The sequence below is a fragment of the Homo sapiens genome, chromosome 8, assembly GCF_000001405.40.
Source record: "Homo sapiens chromosome 8, GRCh38.p14 Primary Assembly".
Lineage (NCBI taxonomy): Eukaryota > Metazoa > Chordata > Mammalia > Primates > Hominidae > Homo > Homo sapiens.
Genome location: NC_000008.11, coordinates 88,062,778 through 88,082,047, shown reverse-complemented (window position 1 = coordinate 88,082,047; position 19,270 = coordinate 88,062,778). Strand labels below are relative to the sequence as shown.

The 19,270-nt window shown below is 35.8% G+C and overlaps 1 protein-coding gene across 2 annotated transcripts in view; it reads left to right on the top strand.

Annotated features, from left to right (window-relative positions):
* The window catches only part of MMP16 (matrix metallopeptidase 16), a 295,473-nt gene that overhangs the window by 245,436 nt on the left and 30,767 nt on the right, over positions 1-19,270 (top strand). For both annotated transcript variants that reach the window (NM_005941.5, XM_024447154.2), the window contains one exon: positions 7,305-7,443. In NM_005941.5, coding sequence (NP_005932.2) covers positions 7,305-7,443 — 139 coding nt within the window. The remainder of the gene's footprint in view (positions 1-7,304; positions 7,444-19,270) is intronic.

Here is a 19,270-nt window from a genome sequence, read left to right as displayed (position 1 = left end):
TTGTGAGCTGGGATACACATATTTTCTCCATGTTTTCATAGCTTTTTACTTTGTTAGCAGCCTTGTTGGTTCTCGAAAACATTTATTTTTCAAATTTATTGGTCACAACCAATGTTTTTATATAATATGGTTGTTTTTTAAGAAAAACAGCTACTGTATACATGCTTATAAATCCAACAGCTTAAACTTCCTGAGTTCCTTTCACTTCATCATTCTGAGCAACAAATGCTTTTGTCACCTTTTCAACAGAATCTAGTAATACATTTTAAAATTTGAGCTGTTTATAAAAAAAACTGTTTTTACTACAATATATGTAAGTATTATCTTTCTATTAAATATATTTTATTGTTGGAAATATTAGGTGACATTCAAATATTTACATAAAATACCCTAAAAATGCATAAATTTAACCTAATCATTGGTATTAGCCATCATCATCAATCTTTTCTTTTAATTCTTTTTAGAGATGGGGGTCTCACTGTATTGCCCAGGCTGGTATGGAACTTCTAGGCTCAGGTGATCCTCCTCCATCAGCCTCCCAAGTAGCTGGGATTACAGGCACAAGCCAGACCATCATCAATTTTTATTTCAATAAGTGCAGTAATTATGGCTGTGATTGGGAGATATAGAGTCTAACATAGGGTGTTATTAAAAAACTTTAAGTAAGAAATTTTCTGAGAAATTCTGATAGTTTGCTTTTTCTCCATGCTTTTGAAGTATGACTAAAAGAATGAGTCAGTTCAGTGGTGAAAGTAACAGCTATTTAATAGCAGTTTTCTCCAAAGTACACTTTTCCTCCCCTGAACTCCAACTGAAGCTCCCCATTTATTCTTCTTGTCCCTTCAGAAGGGCAGTGTTCTGAAATTGGTAAACCTTTTGACGTCTGTCTTAGGCTTAGTGTTCGTTGCTGGCTCTTCCATTCTGCCCAGATGTACATAGCTACCTGTTCACTGCTGCCTTCCAAACTCCACTCACCTATGAGACTGCCTGATGAGCCTCGCTACCAAGGTTTACCCCACAGTGGAGAGCATCCAGCAGAGTGCCTCTGAAATCTCATACTGCTTGCAAAGAGGTAGAACCAAAGCAGGCCTACCACGGAATGGAAAACCAAGACCACCATTTCTTTCTCTGCCTTTTAAGCATTCATATAAATCACGTTCCTCCTTATTATGTATATAGCTGCCACATTTTTGTCTTTCTTTCGGTATTGTTGCATACCCAATTTTTTTCTTAGGAAACAGCTTAATTTTCAACACCAGTTTCCCCAGACACTCTCCACGCCCACATCAGAAGCCTTCAAAACACAACACATGGCCAGGCGCGGTGGCTCACGCCTATAATCCCAGCACTTTGGGAGGCCAAGGTGGGTGGATCACTTGAGGTCAGGAGTTCAAGACCAGCCTGGCCAACGTGGTGAAACCTCATCTCTACTAAAAATACAAAAATTAGCTGGGCGTGGTGGCAGATGCCTGTAGTTCCAGCTACTCAGGAGGCTGACTCAGGAAAATTGCTTGAACCCGGGAGGTGGAGGTTGCAGTGAGCCGAGATCATGCCACTGCACTCCACCCTGGGCAACAGAGCAAGACTCTGTCTCAAAATAAATAAATAAATATATACATAAATAAATAAAACAACACATGATTGCTTGTGAGCAAACGTGTATTTATACACATAAATGTTTTTCTAATTTTTTCCACAGCTAATGATTTCCCTTGGTTAGAATGTCATCTTAATAAATAGGGTTAATACTCAAACTAAACAGCTACCTTGTTTTGAACAATCTCAGATATATATACTCATCCTATGACAGTTTGGTGAAAAAAATTGGGAGATCTGTCTAGTAAATGTGTTGTACTCCTGCAGTACACCAGACACAGTTCACCATGCTGGTAATCCAGCGATAAGGAAAATACGCACTGCCCCATTCTTGTGGAGCATATCATACAGTGGAGTAGGTGGAAGAAATGACGTCACAAATACCATGATGCAGTAACATATGTGTAAGTGCTGTGAAGTCAAAGTGCAGAGTACCATGAGATAGTACAAGAATGTCTTAGTTCATCAGGATGTGCTATACCAGAACACCGTAAACTAGGCACTTTGCAAATGGCAGAAAATTACTCTTCACATTTCTGGAGACTGGGAAGTCTAAGGTCAAGGCACCAGCTGATTCTATGTAAGGTGAGGACCCACTTTTCATAAATGGCACCTGTTAGCTGTGTTCTCACACAGTGGAGGGGGCAGTGCAGCTCTCTAGGGCCTCTTTTATAAGGGCAATAATCTCATTTATTTGGGTTCTGCCTTCCAGACATAATCATTCCCAAAGGCTCCACCTCCTAATACTTTGGGGCTTAGGATTTCAACATAAGAATTTGAAGGGACACAAACATTCAGATCATAGCATAGTGTTATGTAATTTCAGTCAGAGGGCAGCCAAGCCCTCTTTACGGAATAACATTTCAGCTGAGAATTAATGGATGATTTGTGATTCAAATTGATGGAAAAGGAAGAACATTTAAAGTACAGTTGTCCCCTCTTACCCATGGAGGATATGTTCCAGGACCCCCAGTGGATGCCTCAAACTGCAGATAGTACCAGACCATACACTATGTTCTTACCTATACATACACAAACCTATGATAAAGTTTAACTTATAAAGTAGGCACAGTACGAGATTAACAATAATGAAATAGAACAATTACAACAATATACTGTGATAAAAGTTTTGCGTATATGGTCTCTCTCTCAAAATACCTTATTATGCTGGACTTATCTATTTTTGGACTAGGGTTGACCACAGGTAACTGAAACTGTGGAAAGCGAAACCACAGAAACAGAGGGCCTACTGTAGGGCAAACTGCCTGCAAGGTGTCTTAAGGAAGAAAAGAGCTTTCCTCTGTCAAGCAGCTGAAAGGAAGCTGATATAACTGGAGCAATATGAACACAAGAGAGACTGCTGGGAGCTGCGTAGGAGCTGGAGGCAGGAGTCCAGGTTTGAGTTTCATTCTAGATGCAGTAGGAGGCAAAGCAGAGGCTTTGCATTGGCATTGCAGTCATCTCAGTGAAATACAGTGGCAGCTTGGACTCGGATGGTGACAGTGGTGATGGTGAGAAATAAAGAGATTTGAGATGCTGTTTCAGAAAGGAGGAAGACTAGATAGAGCAGGACCAAGGTGGCTTGGCAGAGGAGGGCCCAAAGAACAACTGGTGACTGCTAGAAATGTTCAGTGTGAACATGTGACACATTTGTAGATTTATGGAAAGTTGTTGGTATGAATAAATGAATCTGTGTATCAGAAGAGAAGTAAAAGTAGATCAGTTCTACTGATTAGGTTTTTTTGTTTTTTGTTTTGTTTTGTTTTTTTCTGAGACGGAGTCTCTCTCTATCACCCAGGCTGGCGGAGTGCAGTGGCACAATCTCGGCCCACTGCAGCCTCCGCCTCCTGGGTTCAAGCAATTCTCCTGACTCAGCTGATTCATTTTTTAAAAGGATCCTGAAAACAGCAATTTCTACTGATAGTAGATCATTAACATCATAATTTCATATTCAGACAGTAGGCCTTTTCCATATAGTTCTCAGCAAACAAATATGCCTATCACGAGCCAGAATTTTAAAGGATATAAAAGAATAATAAACAGAATTTCCCCGTATGTTACTGCTCCATGGTGTACACTATGTGAATTTATCTCTGTGAACTAAATGATCTGTCTGGGTTCTATGCTACATGGAAAATAAATCTACATGTAAGACCATAAGTGCTTGTATCTTAAGTGAAATATTGGTGTTTAAGTAGGAATTCCAGTTTGGTAATGTATAAGTACTGTTTTTTTCACAACTTGACTTTGCAGATAGGCTAGTTATGGTTATTATTTCCCCTTCCACCTCCTTCTATAAGGGCCAAACCAAAGAAAGAGAGGGAGAAGGAGAGGGAGAGGAGAAAGAGACAGGAAGAGGGAGAGAGAAGAAAACAAAGAGGGAGGGAGAGAGGGAAGGAGGAAGGAAGGAAGGAGGTAAGAAGCTTGAGGCAACATACAAATAGCAGATTTAGAGATCCATAAGGGTTATTCATCTTTCTTTCCCTCCCCATCTAAAACAAAAACCAAACTTATGTTGTTTAGAAGGGTGAAACCAAATGTATTTTTTTCTTTATGGTTCAAAGACCTTTAAGTATCATACTTTTCTAGAAAGCAGAATATGTGCTAAACATATACCTTTTCAAATAGAATTTTTATGTTTGTGTGACCCCTTCATAACTTTTATAATTTTTCAGTAAGAAAACATCTTAACTACAACAGGGAAAAAAACTGAGATGTAATTTTAAAACAGTGTCTTCTAAAGGATCATTACTTTTACTTTGCTCTTTTCTCTTCACATTTTGTTTTCTTTAAAGAAATTTATTGTGCACCTATTATGTGTAAGGTCCTTTTCTGGAAATAGGGGACTGTATCTAAACAAAAGACCGACATTCTTGCCATCAGAGAGCTTATATATTTAGTGGAGAGAGAATGAACAATAAATTAGTAAAACAAGTATTGTATAAAATGACTATAAATGCAGTGAAGGAAAATACAACAGGAAAGGGAGGTGAGGAGATCCAGCAGACCTGTGTGAGTGCAGTGAGGAACTTCAGTTCTAGATAGCATGGTCAGGGAATGTCTCACTTATAAGGAAAATTTGCACAGAGACCTAGATAGCATTTTAAGTATCTTTTCTCTATGAATTGTTCACAAACCCTATTTCTGAAATGGCAGTCTATAGTAACCATGACATGAGTTTACATCCACTGTGACAGATGCTTTCTAAATTATTTGTACCACTGCTGTCTGCTAAACTGAGGATAAGTTGAATAGAGGCACAACCTGAATATCTGTAATTTATATGACTCTCTGCCAAGGCTGCTGTCAACAAAAACCAGTGGAATTCATCTGCAGTTTCACATGACCTTCTGAATTTTTGCAAATTGACTATGCTTATCTCGAGACAGAACTTTTACTTCTCCCCTTATTAGTGGCAAGTTGGGGTTGTATTCCTATCTGCAGACTGCAACATGTGTCTGTCCAGTAAAGCCACTGGCCCGGCTCCATATGTGGTGAGATTATAGCAATGGGAAGGGCTTTTGTGGGAAAAACTGGAATGTAGTCCAGGTTTTTTCACCAGATTTCCTCCCATTCTTCAGCTTGGAGAGCTTTCTGTTTCATATATAGTCATGGTCAGTTATTTCTTTATCAGAATCCATTTGTTTATTCATTTCTACTAATTATTTTGGCATATACATTACAATAACTTAAGAATACTTTATTTGGAGATTGGCAAGGTTTTAACACCCAGTTAGAAGCCCTTGTTATATCTAGACAAAAATTCTGTTTTTTCTTTTAAGTGATTAGAATATCACCGACATATTTTATTTGCAGTGAACTCTTGATTTTCATGCCCCTGTATATTTATCTGAATCAATCTTTATATGAAATTGTATTTGAAAATCTACTGCATATGGATCAAAACATTATTAATCCAGGCCACCTAGCACCATGAAAATTATCAAGAAAAGGAGAAAAACATTTTTTACAAATTGGTTGGAATGAGATACGTGGCTGGGACTGTAGTATAGCTGACATCCAAAGAGGAAACAATGAACAAGAGACAAAACTGTAAACAGGAATATGAAGAGGGAAAGTAGATAACTCGTTTCAATATAATTTTAACAATAATAACAACCAAAAATGTTGGTACTAGTCTGTGCCAGGTTCTCAGAAAGTTCTTTGTATCTTATACAGTAATCATGCTATAAATTAGGTATTCGTTTGTACTAACTCAGTGACTAGTATATTGACCAAGGTGACACAGTTGTTAGGCGACAGAACAAGAATTGCATATGAGCTTAGAGTCGTTAATTAAGCTATTTCCTCCTTTTAAAAAAAATAACAGAAGTTGGTAGAGAAGACAGTGCATGATAACTACAACAAAGTTCAACTATTAAAGGCTCTTAAGACAGTTCATATTCGGACTCATTTGGGTGAAAGAAAGTTCATTGTTATCATATTAACTGAAGTCCAAGAATCCTCAGTAGATTTTGTGTGTGTGTGTGTGTGTGTGTGTGTGTGTGTGTGTATGAATATATGAGTAATTGATAAATCCTAGAAAGTTTGGTCAGGCTAACATATTGTTGGCCAAAAGCATGAGAAGGTCCTAAAATAAATCACTTATATAATATGTAAGTTGTGTGAAAAGAGCAAGAAAGAAAGCAGAGAATTAAAATGGAAGTATTTTTGTGATATATACTTGTCTAAATAGTGGATATACTTAACTTCCAAGTGAAATATTGCTTATACATACAGAAATTTAAAATAAAGTGAAATTTTAATTGTATTAAAATCAATTTTTAAAATACACCTAGTTTTTAAATGTTAAAACACTGAGTAGCCTTTCATTTATTTCAAATTTTCAATGGAAAACTACTTAGTGTCATCAGATGTATCCTTTTTTGGGTTTGAAGGGTTTGTTTTTGTTTTTGGGTTTTTTTGCCCTTAGTAAGTATTATGGTGAAACATATTGTGTGTAGGCCAATTATTAATTAAACAACTTTATAGAAACCTGCTATGGGTCAAGCCATGTGTTCTTCACTAGAGGTAAGAATGAATAGACACTTTTCATATAAAATGACTTGTGCTATGATTGGATGAAGTACATGGTATTACTAGAGCAGATAGGAAAGGCAATTAATCCAGACTAGAATCCTCTGCGATGATTTATTTTTTTCAAAATAATTTTGCCTATTTTTCTTGCATAAAGTTATCAGCCAAAAATACATTTAATGATGAAAGAGGGCTCTACTTTATAACTATATGAGACAATAGGCATAACAGGGGCGTACAGACAGGTGTGGACTCTCTATTTCATCCTCAACATGGTAGGTGTGGAGATTTTGCATATATTTAAAAACGTTAGGAAGCATGCATGGCCCTAACGCTGCTCTCACATTCAAGAAGCTGACATATCCACAAATCTGGCAGGGACTTCTCTGTGCTACCTCCATCTAGAAAGCCCTAGAGAAAATGTAAAATGACAAGATTCAGTATGTTGACATTATGTTTTAAATCACACTGTATGGCTTAGACATTAAGGAGTTTACTACAAAAATTTTTGTGATCATTGCGGTCAAGTTGTTTAGCTCTTTCTCTGACTGATTTAATGTAAGACAATAAATAAGGAAACCAGCTTGATTTCAAAAGCGTCCAGCCATTGCGCCGTGAAATGCCAGGGAGGCCTACGTGTTTGTTGAGAGATGCCTTTGCTTGGTTTGCAGGACCAGTGGTTTTGGCGAGTGAGAAACAACAGGGTGATGGATGGATACCCAATGCAAATTACTTACTTCTGGCGGGGCTTGCCTCCTAGTATCGATGCAGTTTATGAAAATAGCGACGGGAATTTTGTGTTCTTTAAAGGTAAGGATGTTTTCCATATCTGGCTATGTTGTATTTTAATCATTTTGTATAGGACCCTGTGGTGCACACAAAAGTGATGAAATGAGATTACATAGCCTATGGATTTAATGAAATAAACTATGTTAACTAGAAATATAAATGAAGATAATTTTCATTTTTTATTTTATTTGTTCTCATACGGTATTCTCATGTCAGATTTAAGAGATATTCTTTCTCTTAGAACTTTTAGATTTGACTTAAAAGTACTAAAAAAAAGATTAATAGATATATAGCCATTTCTGCACTGACTAAAGGTTTGTTTGTTTGTTTGGAGTATTTGGAGTTGCTTGCTGGTTTTAGGTAATAAAATCTATTACACTCCTATTTTCATACATAATCTCTGAAATTTTACTTGATGTAATCAGTTTATGTAAATAGATTCTAGTAAACTAAGAACTGAAGTCAAGGAATTCTTAGAATTATCCAATTATCAGTATCATGAAATGTATTGTCTGTTATTTATCTGAGTGCCAAATTTTAATCTCACAAGTACTACCAACTGCCTGGCAAGCAAAAGTGAAATTACCTGATGAAGTGAACTTAGGCAACTGCCTATTATTTTATTCTCAAAACTAGTTAATATTCAAAACCACAAATCTTATATCTGTGAAAGAAAACACAGGGACAAGAGGCAGATTGAGTTGGAGGACTGAGGGAATTGTGAAGAGAATGTATTTGAGCTGAAGCTGAGGAGAACTAGAGTGTAAAACTTTATGGTTGAACATATTACCCAAGAGCCTAAAGGCCTGAAAATAAGCTTATACAGGAATAGAGATTGAAGAAAGGAAAAGGGGGATCTTAATCCCTCAAAAAGCAATTATTCCCAGAATCAAACTAAAATAATGCTATGGTGCTTACAATAGCAATTGGTGAGGGTAATGAAAACATGGAATTTGGGAAACACTTGTAATATTTAAAGTGAGGCTCAAACTACCTATATCAAATGAAAGTATATACCTGGGCTTTATCTTTACAGATTGTTCCTCAAGAAAAGAGACAGTTTAGTCCATTAGCTGTAAGAACATGATAATTTTATGGCCATGTTGCCAACCTTGAACACTTACTAGCTGTATCAGCTGAACAAGCTACTCAATTCTCTTTCCCTCAGTTTCCTAATCTGAAAAATGGAGTTTGTATTATTCCCCATCTCAAAATGATTTTAAGGACTAAATTAATTACTACATGTAAAGTGCCTGGCATGTATAAGCCCTCAATAAATGCCAGCTATTCCTGCTGCTGCTAGTAAGATTGCTATTAATTTTCTTGCCCTCCTGCTGTCTATAATAAGCATATAAAAAAGTGGCGGTGCACCGCACCACAGTGGACAAAGCAAGGATACCACCTAAAGGCTGTGAATTTTAGTGACATGATATTGGAGGGAAATTCCCCTCTCCTACACCCTTCCTGCGTCCCATGAGTAGTAGCAACAAAAAGAAGGGCAGGTTAAGTTCCGACTAGCCTTCCACTTGGGGACCGTCCCAGGAGGCCCTGTCTCCTCACAGGACCAGTAGTGCTCTCTGACAAAACTGCCTGAGGCGAAACTGCCACAGTCATAAATTCGTGTTCTGACAGCTCTTTATGGCCTCGGGGCCTTCTCACTTTTATTCGCTTTGCCGCTCCTCACTCTCTTGTGGCATGGCTAGCTCCTTTTCATCTTTCAACAGCCAGCATAAAAGGCATGTCCTCCAGTGGCCTCCCTGCCCACCCTATGTAAGTAGTACCTTCTAACTTGCACAAAGCATTTGTAAAAGAATTGAAATTACCCACAGCATTCAAATAGAAATTTCATGAGAGATGGAACTTGTTTATATTTTCCTGCGTATCATTTTATTTTCAGTTCCTAAAAGTGTTGGGTGCATAGTAGGTGCTCAATAAACATTTCAATTAAAGCAACATCACTGAATCCTGATTTGACTCAGTATGGTGTTTCTTATGGTGTGGTGCTTACAACAGCAATAATTTCGTTTTTGTCCCAGACTTCTCTAACCACCAGAATGTTGTGCTTGTCAGTGGTCTCTTCTGGTACATTGTCAACCTCAGGAAATGCCTACTCTAATAAATTTTGTCACTTTGAGGACCCTGCTGTGGCAACTCTTTCCTCCAGTTTACTCTTACCCTCAAATAAACCCTCTCAAAGCCCAGCTATGACCTGTAGCTCTCCCGCTCAATAAAGCATTGATTATGGAGAAAGAGTCAGAAGTTCTGGGTGTTCCCAGTGAGATCACACTCTTCCCTAGACTCTACCTCATGACTGGCAGGAGAGGAGTGAGAGTCCTAGCACCCTGGGCTTCTGAAGTGAAATGACCCCCTCCACCACCCTCACCACAACAATCACAATCAAAATATTTCTCCTTGACTCTCTCTCTTTATAGCCCTTATCACCCTCAAAAGACCAGATAACCACATCATTCCTCATCCCACGTGGTCACCCCATTTTGCTCTATGGGCCATGAGGTAATCTCTGCCCCTTTGCTGACAGCTGATCCCCTTCCCTGCATAACTTGTGCACGTACCATCTGACAAACCATATATTTTAATTGTTATCTGTATCCTTCCCACTAGAATATCAATCCCATAAAGGCAAGGTATTTTTTTTTTATTTTACACTGTTTTATCCCCAATATCTTAAACTGGGCTTTGACAGACTTTTTCTGTAATGACAAAATAGTGAATATTTTAGGCTTTGCAGCCCATATGGTCTCTATTATATACCTTTCTTTGTTTTTTGTGTGTGTTGTGTTCTAACTTTAAAAATGTAAAAACTATTCTTAGATCATGGGCCATACAGAAGCAGGCTATGGTCATAGTTTGTTGTCTTAAACAATACCTGGAATATAGTAAACACTCAATAAAGATTGATCGAATGAACCAAGAATAAGATTCAAGCCCCAACCTGTACTTATAGCCATGTACAAGTTGGTGTCAACCTATACCAGCCATATTAGACTGTGATTTACATTACTAGTGATTTAGATGTTATTCTTCTTTAATTTGCTCTTTTATTTAGCCTCTTTGCCTTACATTATTTATCTTTGTTTTCTTCTTCTCTCTCTACAGAAATCATCTTTTATGTTTTTTTTTCTTCTTCCAATCTGTGCTAGACAATTATTATATATTTGAGAAGCTTTGTCTTTTATTCCCCTATTTAACTAAAGTCCATGTTTGGATATAAATGTATTTAACTCTGTATTTCCTAAAGGTACTTAGGTATTAATTATACCTAAAGGTATTAACCTTGTTTTCATTTTACATAAGAATTTGAAGATGTGGATTCAACTATATGTATAAATGAATGTTTAGTTATAAAGTATAACTATTGTGTTAGTGATATAAACATAAACATAACATGTCCTATTTATTCAAACTTTTATAAATCTTAAGAAGAATGAGAAGCCATTAGATACAATTAAAAATTTATATTTTGGTGTAATTTAGATATTTTTTGAACTAGGGCAAAATTATATGTGCACATGTATATCATATGAAGTGGGAGTTGTCAGTATATAAATTATGAAAACATAAAACTTGTCCTTTATATGTGTGTCCAATTCTACATTCTGAACATAATCTTACTGCTTTTTAGTATGTTAAAGTATGGTAGATCAGAATATAATGTAATATATTACATAATAGTGCACTATAATGGTAGATTCTGCTTCCAGCCAAGAAGTAATAATGGGGATCAGATTTATCTTTCCTTCTGAAAACAAGGAAAAAATTGACAAATTATATTAAAAAATGATTTTCAAAGACACTGGGTATCAAGAAACAGAGGACATTGAATCCTGAGAGTCAGGAAATAAAGGGAGGTGAGCCCTGAAGTTACCATAGCTTCCCATCTGAATAATTTACAGGCTGCGGCACAACGTAGGGGAACCAAGGCAGAGCTCAGAAGACTTTCTCAGTTGAAGATACAGAGCTGAGAGTTCAGGGAGAACAAGGTAGCTTCAGTGCACAGGAGAAAGTAACATAGAGGAGAGAGCTACACAAGATGGCCCAGAGATGAGCAGATGGACCCCCATACGTATTGGAAAGAGTATTGGTCAGCTCATGTCTATAAGGAAACTACTCAAATCTAGAAAAGGAACCAATCAGTGGGAACAAAAGGAGCAGTGCCTGACACTCACGGAGGGCCATAGTACCGGCTGCCCCCAACCACCTGTTCATAGGCTTTGGATAGAGTATTGAAAAGGGCCTTACCTCAGTAGTGGGGAATAATTATCCTAGAAATATCCCTGCTTGAATTCCACTTAACAAATCTTCAAAGTAAGACCTGAAGCAATCAAATGGTTTCCAAATAAGAGTCCTAGAACAAAGCTCAAGAATATTTATAGGGATACAGAGATACTGACCCAACAAGGTAAAATTCACAGTATCTTGCATACCCCAAAAGATCAGGAACAAGACAAAGATGTTTATATCAGGTCTGTTCAACACTGTAACAAGTTTTATCTAGTGAAATAAATAAAAATATTTTAGATTGGAAAGAAATAATGCTGTATTTATAGACAATCTGATTGATATAAAACAGAAGTAAAACTGTATCCATGGAGATAATTGTCTATGTAGAAAGAGATAGGATTGCAGTCAATCAAAAAGCTTCCAGAATTGGTAAGTGTGTCTCTCAAAGTTACAAAATCTAAGAACATTAGTAAACATTTAATTGTATTTCTGTATATTTTCAAGAACTGTAAAGGGTCTGAGATTTTATCTTATTTGTAAGCTAATAAAAGCCTATTAGCCTGCCTTATGCTTATGGATGTTGACAGAAGACATGAGATTCCTGAGTTAGAGAAAAGGATGGAAATCAAAAGCAGTAGCCATAGTATAGTCATCTGAACTTGTTCCCTAAACCCCACACTTTAAAAGTGTGATACTAAAAGGAGTTGACACCTTACATGAAATTAGTCTCATTGCAAGAAAGGAACAATGAATTAAAGTACCTAAATTTTCTATAATTAGCAATAAGCCTGCCTAAATTTTTCACTGAAAGGAGATACTTTCTTCATCATACTGGACAGTAAACAAACCTTTCCTTTGCAGTGAAGGGAGACACTCTATCTATAATCCAAGATGGTTGGCTCTACAAATACCATTGGAAATGGATTCTAGAACAAAGGCAGTCAGTGCCTGTGCTCTCAAGACAAACTGAAAAGCACAAGACCTATGAAGAATTATCTTCCATCACATACTAACAAAGAACAATCAGGAATTGAAAATTTAAAATAAAAGGCCATTTACAATTGCATTCGTAAACACCAAATACCGAGGGATCAATCTGCAAAAAAATGTGCATGACCTCTACATTGAAAACAACAAAACACTACTAAATGAAAGTAAAGAGGCCTAAATAGCTGGACAGATATGCCTCATTCATGGGTCAGAGGGTTCAGTATTATTACAATGACATTTATCACCAGATTTATGTTGACATTCAGTGCAATCCCGATCGAAATACTTGCAGGCACTTTTGTAGTAATGGTCAAGCTGATTCTAAAATTCATATATACAGATACAAAGAGCCTAGTATAGACAAAACCACTTTGGAAATGCTACTTGATTTTGGCCGGGTAAGGTGGCTCACGCCTGTGATCCCAGTACTTTGGGAGGGGGAGGCAAGTGGATCACTCGAGGTCAGGAGTTCAAGACCAGCCTGGCCAACATGGTGAAATCCCAGCTCTACTAAAAATATAAAAATTAGCCAGGCTTGGTGGCAGGCTTCTGCAATCCCAGCCACTCGGGAGGCTGAGACAAGAGAATCTCTTGATCCCGGGAGGCAGAGGTTGCAGTAAGCCAAGATCATGTCCCTGCACTCCAGCCTGGGTGATAGAGCAAGACTCTGTCTCAAAAAAACAAAGAAAGAAAAAAGAAAATACTACTTGATTTCAAGTCTTATTTTAAAGCTATAATAATCAAGACTCAAAACATATATGGACAAGTAATTTTTGACAAAGATACATGTAAAAAAACAAAACAAAACAAACCTCCAATTCACATCCTGTACTATACGAAAATATGGTCCTAACCTAAATGTAAAGGCTGAATCTATAAAACTCCTAGATAAAACATAGGATACAAAAGTTTGTGACCTTAATCTGTGCAAAAATTTCTTAGATATCATGCAAAATCATAATCTATAAAAGAAAAATTGATATATCAGACAATTTAAAAATTCTACCCTTCAAAGACACTTTTAAGTGAATAAAAAGCCTCAGTTAGAGTACATTATTTGCAAGCCAAGTATATGATGAAGGATTTTTATTCACAATATATAAAGAACACTCAAAACTCAATAAAAAGAAAACAAACAACTCAATAAAAATGAACAGAGTATTGAACAAAAGCTTTACCAAGAATCATAGATGGATGTCAAATGAGCTCATGAAAAGATGCTTTACATTATTAGTCATTAGGGAAATGTAAATTAAAACCACAATGAAATACCACTACACACCTGATAGAATGGCTAACACATAAATGACTGACCATACCAAGTATTGGCAGGATTATGAAGGAACTGTAACTGTCATATATTGCTAATAGAAAGTAAAATTGTATACTCTGGAAAACATTTTGGCAGTTTTCTTTAAAAGTAAAATACACAGCTACTGTATAATCCAGCCATTTTACCCTTGGTATTTTCCCAAGAAAAATGAAAACTTATGTGTAATCAAAGACCTCTACATGAATATTCAAAGCAGCTATATTTGTGATAACACAAAACTGGAAATAATTCAGATACTCTCAACAGGTAAATGAGTAAACTGCGATATATCCATAAAATGGAAGACTATTCAGCAATAAAAAGGAATGAAGTACTGATTCACATTACAATATGGATGAAGCTCAAAATAATTTTGCTGTGAAATAATTCAGACAAAACAAGAGTACATACTGTATTATAACATTTGTATTAAATTTTAGAAAATACAAACTGATCTATAGTGATAAAAAGTGCCTCATTGGTTCCCTGGGGACAGGCAAGAGTTGGGTGTGAAGAAAACTTCTCAGAATGATGAAATGTTCATTTTCTTGATTATGTCAATACTTTGATAGCTATGTACATATGTCAAAACTTAATAAATTATACACATTAAATTTATTGAATGTCAGTTATACCACAATAAGACTGTTTTTTTAACAAGAAGCTTTACTAAGTGCATAAGTTTATGTTGGAATCAATTACGAAATATTTCATACATTTAAATATACTGATGACATAGGTAGTACAATTTGATTCCTTCGTTGTTCCAGAGCATGTTGATTATGAATATCCAAATTAATACTATTTCAGTTTTAGTTTCTTAGTTGAGCCCGTTGATAATCAAGTGCAATGTACCCTCATAGCTGAGATGCATTCATTCCCCAGCAACTTTCCCCTCTACGTTAAAGTTTTAGTATTTTGACAATAGTAGAAAGAACATTTAATTAGACAATAGTAGAAAGAACATTTAATTAAGTTTTAGTAAATAACTCATCCACTTACTGAAGAAATATTATAAATATTCTATGATCTCAATTTAATTTTAGATGCTATAACTTATAATGATTATAAAGTATTCTCTACTAAGTGGTCATCTTGGAAATAACTACCAAAAAAATTTTGATGCCCACATTTTGAATAATTTTGTCACTGTTATTTTATATTCTTTATCTGTATTTTATTTTTGCTCTGTAATTTCTCATCTTATTTTTGTTTGTTTTTAATTTATGTTTTCTCTTTGTATCACATTTTGCATCAGATCCCTCAAATTTTTGTGAAATGATTATCGGTACAAGTAAGTGGACAAGTATTTTAGATACTTTTTCTTTCAACCTCGCATGTGTAGACATGTGTGGGGTGGGTTTTTTTTGCTGCTGTTTTTGTTTTTTTAAAGAAGCCAGTGTATAATGTCTCCCTTCACTGATTAAGTTGCTTGCTGTTGAGTGAGAGTGTAGATGTACAAACCCACAGGGCTTTCTTACTGAAAGTCAGCCATTTGGTGTATGTGACTATCAGTTAGCACCATTTACAGTTGTGATGCCTGAATAGACCTATTTATTCCTCTATTTGATATTTAGTAAGTAACACTGAGTCGTTCTCCTTTATGCTCATAAGGTGTTTGTTTTTTATTTAGAGAGACCCAGAAATAGAAAATGTATCACACCTCGAGGAAGTAATATGTTTTTTTTTCCCAGCAACTGAATGTACTCCACACTTTGTGCTAGTTAGCTATCTTTCCATCACTCAGGTATATCCCATATAAAGAGTAACATTTTGTAAGCATAATCAAGCCAGGTGTACATTCTCAATTACTAGGCATGTTAAGACTGAATGGTTATGAGATAATAGTATCAAAAAAGCTGTCTTAAAAATTGAGCTGGTGCAATCTCTTTCAAGAATTGGAAACAAATTTTAAAACAAAGATGCTAGTGTTGTCAGAATCAGTAACAGTCAAAATAAAATCAAGTAGCTGAAAGGTTGTCTCAAAATTCAAACTGTTGCTATGACTTAATAACTTTAAGCAGTACTTATTACCCTGGTTGGCAGTTTCATTTCAAGAGACACAAATCACTTGTGGAATAGAAACTAAAATATATGAGGCAGAAAAGAGGACGGCAGTAAAATTTGGGAATAAAAATGGCATACACAAGATGTGTATCAAAAGAGAGGAGTTGTCTAAAATACTCGGTGCTGGAAAATGGCAAAGAAAAGAACTGTTTGTTAAGAAATGGTTTATATGACTTTAATTGTTATTTTATTTCAAATGAGTCCTCATAAACAGGCAATTTCTTTATGCTGCTCACAAATTCTTTTTCTTGAAAGGTTTAGGGAGTATTCATGAAGTTCATTTGAGGTCGAAATACATTGTTTCTTACATAGTACAATAAATAGGTAACGTAAAAGAAACATTTTCTATAAATAGGTGAGTACAATGATTATTTATTTCTTTATAGGATGTAACAGAAGATTGATGTATAAAAAGTTATACTAGATTAAGGAATTTATATTTAGTAGTCTTGGTATATGTGAAAATAGATTTAGACCAAGCAAATAGTGCTATTTTTTGAATTATAAATATTTATGGAATTTTAGTATTAATATTTTATGTTGAAATGATCATCTAAAACATAGGTCCAAATGTTTAATATTTGAAACTCTAATTGCTAATATACCTCTACTTATTAAAATGATTCAAAAACTCCATAGTATAGTTTTATTATGTCTATTTTCATTTATATTTAAAGCTGCAATATTTTCCTGTCAATATTACTTGTGTATCTAAAAGTTTTCCTTATTTTCAAAAACTGTTATAACATCACTTTGTTTGTTGTGCCCTGTAGAGTTCCCCAGAAAGCAGACACTGAGACCAAGTTAGGAGGTTGAGAGGTTTGTCAGGGAAGAAGGTAAATATGTGAAAGATTAAAGGGGACAAGGCAGGATTAGCAGCAGGTGACAAAGTCTTGGTGAACCCGATGCCAAGCTTCACATCAAAGAATGCCTCTTAGAGGACTCACATGCAGAGCAAAAATGGCCAGGCTTTAGTACTCTGCTGTGATCAGTCTTTGGTGGGAGGCTGCTGAAGAAGAGTGTAGCCTTGGCCCAACTGATGCATCAGACCCAAAGGCACTCAGCTGATGATAGTTTCTTTCTCTAAGGAAGTCCTGAGCTGCACACCTCAGCGGCAACCACACTTGCACAAGCATTCAAAATTCTCTGCTTGCTAGATAATATTGTGGAATCTGGAAAACAAAATGCTACTAACAAAAAGTCATATGACCTCAAGAGTTGGGCATTTATTCAAGTTTCCTGAGCAACCTATCTATAAACAATATAGAAATTAAAACATACTCCAAATATTGAGCCCAAATAGAGATTAGTGTTACTTGTTTATTATTGGTATCATTTATTTATTTGAGTAGGTGATAAGCAAATTTGATCAGTGAAATACTGTGTTATAACCATTTATTGGGACAGCCTGAGGCACCTACAGTGTGAGTGTATTTGATCTCTCATTATTTCCCGAATTCCAAGCGAGCATTAAGTTAGCATCCTATGTACAAATTATGAAAGGAAAGCTCAGATTCATGACTTGCCCAGGATCTTACAGCTGGTTATTGGTAGAGCTGTCACCCCCTAGTTCTGACTTCAAAGCTATTGAATGCCCCATTAAATAACATAATCTAACAAATAAAATATTGATTATTTATAAAAATGTTTTAAATTCCCTGATGTTTTCTCAAAGAATATATAAATGGTGAACAGTAATCAGCCCAATAAACAATATTTACTGACTATTCTATGCACAGACTTCTGTGTTATGAAGAAAATCAAACCGTTAAGGAATTTGTTTTCTAATCTTTCCTGTAAAAAACTACATAGTAAATACTTTCTGCTTTGTGCACCATGTGGACTCTGTCATTAACTACTGAACTCTTTCATTGCAAGGTAAAAGCAGCCATACACAATATGTAAATAAATAGGTGTGGCTGTTTGCTGGTAAAGTGTGATTTACAAGAACAGGTGGCAGCTAGTGGTCCTCCTTCACTGACCACTGCTGTAATAGAAGACACAAAATATAAATGTATGAATAGTTTTGAGGAGACAAAAATACAGTTGATTTTTTTTAATTTCCTTAGTAATAAGGCACAAAGGATATCTGACTACTCAGGATACAGTGAACAAGCATGAGCCGAATACAGTGGGTTAATTGATAAACACTCCCATTAAAAATGTTAGGTGATGAGTTGATAAAGGAGGGAAGAAGCAGGGAATCATTAGCAATTCTGAAAGCCAGAGTGTGAACTTGTTCTGTTCTGAGAGTCAATTTTGCATAGTAAGATAAGCACTGAATCAAGAGGCCTGGACCGCAGTAAAAACCCATTAGCACCTGGCGGTGTGGCTTTAGACACACCACTTCTTTGACCTGTAAAATAAATGAATGCGTTAGGCTGGATTATCAGCCACTTTTCTGATCCGGTACATCTGAACAATATAATGCACTCCTATCATTAACAGTGGCTCAGTTCAAGGGAGTCAAAAAGCAGGTAGAAATCTTAACCTCCAGAGTAAGCATTGTCCTTCTGAAAAAAAAAAAAAAAAGGTTATTAGGTACTGCATGTTTCCTGATAGGAACAGCATTTAATTTAAAAATTCTTTTTGGGATTATTTGTTGACTGTCTATTTTCTCTGCTAGTCTGTTCCACAAAGACAGGAACTTTTTGTGTTGCCTTCATCAGTGTTTCTGCAGCTCCTGGTTGACTGACAGACTATAATAGGCTCATAATAAACAGACATTGAATAGGAGAATAGACGGATGAATAGATGGAATAGATGGATGATTGAATGTCATCCATCCATTGAATAGATGGATGGATAGATGAATATCATTGAAAAATCACTGCAATAGATGATCTATAAAGTCCTCTCCAACTCTAAACATTTTTAAAGCTATTCTATTTATAAAACCTTTTGGCCTTTAGTTCTAACTTGTTGATATTTTCCTCTGCATTCTGCCAAGTACAATGTCAGTAAGAACTAGTTTTTTCCACTTGCTCCAGAATATGTCAACCTCATATGAAATCCAGGGAATACTTACATTCTGCCAAAAAGGCAATATTTTCCTTGAGACCCAGACTGTCTGATGGTAGGGTAGTTAAAAAACCACCTGTCATATGTACAGTAAAAAAAGTCAAATATGAATCTTACATACTTAACTGAAAAACTGAAAAGTAGAAACAAAGTCATTTACGTTTTTTCTTCTTTTTTAATTTTTTTTATTATACTTTAAGTTGTAGGGTACATGTG